The sequence below is a fragment of the Homo sapiens genome, chromosome 4 (assembly GCF_000001405.40).
Source record: "Homo sapiens chromosome 4, GRCh38.p14 Primary Assembly".
Taxonomy (NCBI): Eukaryota; Metazoa; Chordata; class Mammalia; order Primates; family Hominidae; genus Homo; species Homo sapiens.
This window is the reverse complement of record NC_000004.12, coordinates 52,760,778-52,768,014: the sequence shown is the minus strand read 5'-3', so window position 1 is coordinate 52,768,014 and position 7,237 is coordinate 52,760,778. Positions and strand designations below refer to the sequence as shown.

General features: G+C 38.5%; 1 annotated feature.

The window, feature by feature from the left end:
• Positions 804 to 1,307: an enhancer, noted in NCBI's record as "NANOG hESC enhancer chr4:53632875-53633378 (GRCh37/hg19 assembly coordinates)". NCBI's record gives its function as "activates a minimal SCP1, AML or CMV promoter by ChIP-STARR-seq in naive H9 embryonic stem cells {active_cell/tissue: H9 hESC(naive)}" and the evidence as "EXISTENCE:reporter gene assay evidence [ECO:0000049][PMID:30033119]".

Here is a 7,237-nt window from a genome sequence, read left to right as displayed (position 1 = left end):
CAAAAATCAGTATCATTTCTATATGCCAACAGTGAACAATCCTCAAAAAAAAATTAAAAAGTAACCCATTTACAATACCCACAAATAAAATCAAGCACTTAGGCGTTAACCAAAGAAGTGCAAGATCTCTACAATGAAAGCTATAAAGCACTGATGAAAGAAACTGAAGAGGACATACACAGAAAAAAATGAAAAGATATTTCATTTTCATGGATGGAATAATCAGTATTGTTAAAATGTCTGTACTACCCAAAGGAATCTGCAGATTTAATGCAATCCCTATCAAAATACCAATGACATTCTTCACAGAAATAGAAACCTTAAAATTTACTTGGAACCACAAAAGACCGAGAATAGCCAAAGCTACCTTAAGCAAAAAGAACAATTGGAGAAATCACATTACCTGACTTCAAATTGCACTACAGAGATACAGTACCCAAAACAGCAATGGTATGGCCAAAAGCAGACATGTAGACCAGTGGAACAGAATAGACAGCCCAGAAACAAATCTATATACCTACAGTGAACTCATTTTTGACAAAGATGCCAAGAACATACATTTGGGAAAAGACAATCTCTTCGATAATGGTGCTGGGGAAACAGGATATCCACATGTAAAGGAATAAAACTATACCCATACCTCTCATCACATATGAAAACCAAATCAAAATTGATTAAAGACTTAAATATAACACCTCAAACTATCAAGTATTAAATGAAAACATTGGGGAAACTCTCCGGGACATTGGTCTGGGCAAAAAATGTTTGAGTAATATTCCATAAGCACAGACAACCAAAACAAAAATAGGATCACATCAAGTTAAAAAGCTTCTGCACAGCTAGGAAAAAATCAACAAAGTGAAGAGAGAATCCACAGAATGAGAGAAAATATTTGCAGACTACCCACCTGACAAGGGATTAATAATCAGCATATATAAGGAGCTCAAACAACTCTATAGGAAAAAATCTAATAATCTGATTCAAAAAGGGCAAAAGCTCTAAAAAGGCACTTCTCAAAAGAAGACATACAAATGGCAAACTGGCATATTAAAAGGTGCTCAACATTACAATGAGATGTCATCTCACCCCACTTAAAATGGCTTTTATCTAAAAGACAGGCAATAACTAATGCTAGCGATGATTTGGAGAAAAGTAAACCCTCATACGCTGTTTGTGGCAATATAAATTAGTATGGCCATTATGCAGAACAGTTTAGAGGTTCTTCAAGAAACTAAAAATATAGTTACCATATAAAGCAGCAATCCGACTGCTGGGTATATACCCCAAAGAAAGGAAATTAGGATATCAAAGGGATATCTACACTCCCATGTTTGTTGCAGCACTGTTTACAATAGCCAAGATTTGGAATTAATGCAGGTGTCCACCAACAAATGAATGGATAAAGAAAATATGGTACATATACACAATAGAGTACTATTCAGCCGTAAAAAAAAAAAAAAAAAGAATGAGATCCTGTCATTTGCAAAACATAGATCAAATTGGAGGTCATTATGTTAAGTGAAATAAGTCGGGCACAGAAAGACAAACTTCACATGTTCTCACTTATTTGTGGGAGCTAAAAATTAAAACAATTAAAGTCATGGAGACAGAGAGTAGAAAGACAGTTTCCAGAGTCTGGGAAGAGTAGTGGGCAGGATGGGAGAATAGCAGAGGGAGAAATGGGGATGGTTAATGAGTACAAAAAGTAGTTAGAAAGAATGACTAAGACCTAGTATTTGATAGCACAACAGGGTAACTATAGTCAATAATAATTTAATTATACATTTAAAAATTACTAAAAGAGTATAACTGTATTGTTTGTAATACAAAGGACAAATAATGGAGGGATGGATGCCCCATTTACCATAATGCAATTATTACATATTGCACACCCGAATCAAACTATCTCATGAACCCCATGAATACAAACACCGGCTATGTACCCACAAAAATTAAACAACAAGAACAAAAAAACCTCAGCTAGGTGAGGTGGCTCGCACCTGTAATCCCAGCACTTTGGGAGGTTGGAGGGCAGGAGGATTGCTTAAGGCCAGGAGTTCAAGACCAGCCCAATCAACATAGCAAGATCACATCTCTACGAAAAAGAAAAAAAAAATAGCTGACCATGGTGGTGCATCCCCAAGTAGTCCCAGCTACTCAGGAGGCTGAGGTGGGAGGATTGCTTGAGCCCCAGAGGCCAAGGCTACAGTGAGCCTTATACATATATACATTTTTACATGATCAAGTGGTATTTCAATTCAACAAGAGAAATGATTAAGTTATAAATAATGCTAATTCAATTGTCTATGCACTTGTATTAGTTTGTTACAACTGCCTTAACAAAATACCACAAACTGGGTGGCTTACACAACAGGAATTGATTTTCTCATAGTTTTGGAAGCCAGAAGCCCTGAGATCAGGCATTGCCAGGTCTGGTTTTCCCTGAGGCCATTCTCCATGTCTTGTCAATGGGATACTTTCTCACTGTTTCTTCCATGGCCTTTCCTTTTTTTCTTTTTCTTTCTTTCTTTTTTTTTTTTTTTTTAAACAGAGTTTTTTGCTTTTGTCACCCAGGCTGGAGTACAGTGGCGCGATCTTGGCTTACTGCAACCTCTGCCTCCCAGGTTCAAGCAATTCTCCTTCCTCAGCCTCCCAAGTAGCTGGGATTACAATCGTATGCCACCACCCCTGGCTAATTTTTGTATTTTTAGTAGAGATGGGGTTTCACCATGTTGGTCAGGCTGGTGTCAAACTCCTGACCTCCAGTGATCCACTGGCCTCAGTCTCCCAAAGTGCTGGGATTACAGGCATGAGCCCCTGTGCCCGGTTTTCCATGGCCTTCTTAATGTGTGCATGCACATCCCTGGTTTCTCTTCCTCTTCTTATAAGGACCCCAGTCATATTGGATTAGGACCCCACCTAACGACCTCATTTTACCTTAATTGCCTCTTTAAAGGCCCTACCTCCAAATACAGTCACACTGGGAATTAGGTGTTCAATGTAGGAATTTTGCAGAGACACAATTCAGTCCACAACACCACCTAAAGAAGTAATATTCAGGCTTTATCTTACATAATATTAAAACTAAATTCCAGGGTAAATAAAAATGTAAAATAAAAAGTTAAATTATAAAAATGTAAAAGATAATCTGGACTCCATGTATGGTATAATCTAGGGTCACAGATGTTTTTTAACCAAGTCAGGAATCTCATAAACCATGCAGTAAAAATAATAGAAATATTTGACTGTATAAAAATTTTGAACTTTACAGAGTAAAAGATACATTAAACAAAACAAAGTGCGTCAGTGAGAATATAGTGCAGGAAACATGAACCACCCTAGATATTTTAAGAAGTGAAGAGTTTAATACAGGAAATTAGGAGTTTACAAAAGTATCGGAAGGTTACAGAACAAGAACCAGAAGTCAGATGTCTGCCACCGTATGACCCATTTCAAGGACACATCAACAAAATTACAAAGAGACGTCAGAAAGCTATTGCTACTATCACTGCTGCTTCTTCAGTTCTCAAAGTCAGGAAGGGGATGATCAGACACTGGAATGCAGAGTCTGCTTACAAACATTCATAATTCTCTAAACTTGCTTTACAGGAGAAATAGAAGAAGATGGCTTCTGCCTCCCTTCCATCTTCCAGGTCTTGCAAGAATGCATCCCTTTGATGCAACCTAACTCATGCCACATTTCTTGCTGCAGCCTGAGCAAACATAGTGAGACAGGATTTTATTTTATTTATTTTGTTAAGAATATTTTTGAAATTAGCCGGGAGTGATGGCGCATGCCTGTAGTTTTTGCTACTTAGGAGGCTGAGGAGAGAGGATTGCTTGAGCCAGGAACTCAAGGCTACAGTGAGCTATGATTGTACCATTGCACTACAGCCTGGGTGACCCTGTCTCAAATAATAATAATAATAATAAAAGATTCCTAGCTACAGGAGAATCTGTGAATGTGGTCTTTATCTTGCCAGCACCTGTGGTCAAAAGAGTACATAGAAGGGGTTCTATATCAAGGGTTTCTCTACATCAACTGGCAAAATCATGTCCAGCAAACAAAGTTCATTCAAAAGCAACATATTTGGGGGCTGTGAGCTGGGAACTTCCACACTGATGATAGACAAAGACATATAATTTAAAATACATTAGGAGCTATTAAAGATGGATAAGAAACAAGTAAGCAATTGAAAAGAAAAATGGCCAAGGATATCAATAGGCATTTACAGAAAAAGAAACATGAATGGCAATTTTTAAAGAAAATATGTTTAAACTCACTAGTTATCAGAGAAGACCAAAATTCACCAATACTGAGATATTATTTTATACCCATCAGACTGGCAAAAATTTTAAAGAGCAATGACATATATCAGTGGTGGGAATTGGAAAAGGGCGATTGAATAAGGTCAGGATTCAGGTTTAAAAAAGAGAAATTATTCTGTTTTAATTTGTGTTATGGTTGGGCAGAATGTTTATGTTCTCTCAAAATTTATATGTTGAAATTCTCATCCCTAAGGTGATAGCATTAGAAGATCTGGCCTTTGTGAGGTGATTAAGTCGAAAGGGTGGAGCCCTTGTGAATGGGGTGAGCACCCTTGTGAAAGAGGCCCTAGAGATGTCCCTCATCCCTTCTGCTATGCTAAGTTAGAGTGAGAAGGAGGCTGTCATCTGTGAGGAAGCAGCCCTCACGAAACACTGAATCAGCCAGAGTCTTGATCTTGGACTTTTGGCCTCCAGAACTGTGAGAAATAAATTTCTGTTGTTTGTAAGCCACTCAGTCTATGGTATATTATTATAGCAGCTAGAACAGACTAAGGTAATTAGAAAGGAATGGAACACCAGGAATTATAATGTAAAAGACATATTAAATGAAGTGTATATATCAGGTTGCAGTGCAGGAAACATGAACCACCCAACCTGAAATACAAAATAATTTTTAAGCACCTATTATTGAAAGGGCTGGAGCAGTTGGCTCTAAGCTGCGCCTCTGGCAATGGCCGCCAGAAAATCACCGCTGAATTCACCACCAGACACTGCTTTCCTTTCACCTTTTTTTTTTTTTCAAACATGGAAAAGTATAATGAAACATCATTTCTGTAAGATAGTGACATTATGTATGCATGTGTGTGCATATATATGTGCATAAATTACATGTACAATGGCCAGGTGTGGTGGCTCATGCCTGTAATCCCAGCACTTTGGGAGGCCAAAGCAGGCAGATTACCTGAGGTCAGGAGTTGGAGATCAGCCTGGTCAACATGGTAAAACCCCATCTCTACTAAAAATACAAAAATTAGCTGGGCGTGGTGGCAGGCACCTGTAGTCCCAGCTACTCAGGAGGCTGAGGCAGGAGAATTGCTTGAACCCAGGAGGTCGAAGTTGCAGTGAGCCAAGATCGTGCCACTGCACTCCAGCCTGGGTGACAGAGCAAGACTCCACCTCACAAAAAAAAAAAAAAAATTACATGTATAAGAGGAAAATTATGGAAGGAGACATACCAGGCTGTGAATGTGGGTTACCAGCATAAGTGGAAGAGCATGGGTGGAGATGGGGAAGTTTGAATTGCTGTGAATAAAAGAGGAAGAGGGAATGAGAAAGGCGAGGAGAAAGAAAGGGAAAAAAGAAAAAGAAAAACACTAAAAAAGGACCATTGTTTTCAGCATGGGTCCTCAAAGCCACCCTCTGTAACCTGTAATTTAAAAAGCTTCTGTCCAAACTCACCTGTAAAAAAAAAAAGCACCATCATTCAGCTAAGTATGTCATTGTGATTGATTTACATGACAGCAAGTACTAAACCAAACCACTGCTTAAATTATCCAGATGTTCTAGAACCAAATATTTCCCATTCTGGAAAGTAATTTGGCAAAAGCAACAAAACTTTCATATCCAGTGATCCAAAAATTTACACCTATAGAAATATACCCTAAAGAAAAACTGGAGATTTGGGCACAATTTTTGGTTTAAAGATGTTATTTTACTATTAACTACAGTAGCAAACAATAAGGAAAAAAGCAGTCTAAATGGTAAAAATTAATTTTGTAGATCCATGAAATGGAACATCAAGCAACCACTAAAAATCATATTTTTAAAGATATTTAACAGCACAGGAAACTGCTCATGATATAATATTAAGTGAATAATAAAACAAGACAGAAAATATGGATTGCATGTTAGACACACATACACAAACACAAAGACCTTAAGGAGGAGGCCAGGCACAGTGGCTCATGCCTGTAATCCCAGCACTTTGGGAGGCCAAGGTGGGCAGATCACGAGGTCAGGAGATCAAGACCATCCTGGTTAATGCAGTAAAACCCCGTCTCTACTAAAAATACCAAAAAAAAAAAAGAAAAAAAAATTAGCCGGGTGTGGTGGCAGGCACCTGTAGTCCCAGCTACTCGGGAGGCTGAGGCAGGAGAATTGCTTGAACCTAGGAGGTCGAGGTTGCAGTGAGCCAAGATTATGCCACTGTACTCCAACCTGGGTGACAGAGCGAGACTCCATCTAAAAAAAAAAAAAAAAAAAAAAATACGTAAGGAGGAACTACACCAAAATGCTAATGATGATTATTTCTAGGAAGTAAGTTAAAGGCGATTATCATTTTCTTCATTTATTTGTGTTTTTTTTTAAGTTTTCTATAAAGAGTGCATATTTGGGATGAAATGTTCTTTTCCTCACCTGATATGAAGGCATTCTGTCTAACAAATCAGTTGACCCTGTGATCCCCAGCTTGTCAACTCTGTGAGGGCAGATATCTGCTTCACATTGCGTCCCCCACTGCTGAGCACATGTTAGTGGATGAAAGGTTGGGTGGATGGATTTGGTTGTGCTGGTGGGCCAGAAAGGGGTTTCTCTCCTCCATCAATTCCCTATTATTTTCTCTGGAAGTTTAGTGGCACAGTAGGATTTTCTCATAGCTTGGAGGACCATTCAGCTGATTAAAGTATAGGCACTACTTTCACCTCTTTCTGTATCTATTAGGTTATAAATTAAGGAGAGGATAGCATTTGTGAGAAACAGCCAGCAATAACCAGAAATCATCTGTGCATCTGTCAATATAGCATATGGAAAACCACAGGTATATATGTCAACACGTGGGACTGGTCCAAAGGGTCTCTGCCAGGTCTCACCCATGCACTTCGATGAGTCACATTCTAGCACCTTCAGCCTTCTATATCAATCAGGAAAAACAGAAGCCAATATCATACCAGGAGGAGTTGTGCAAGGTAAG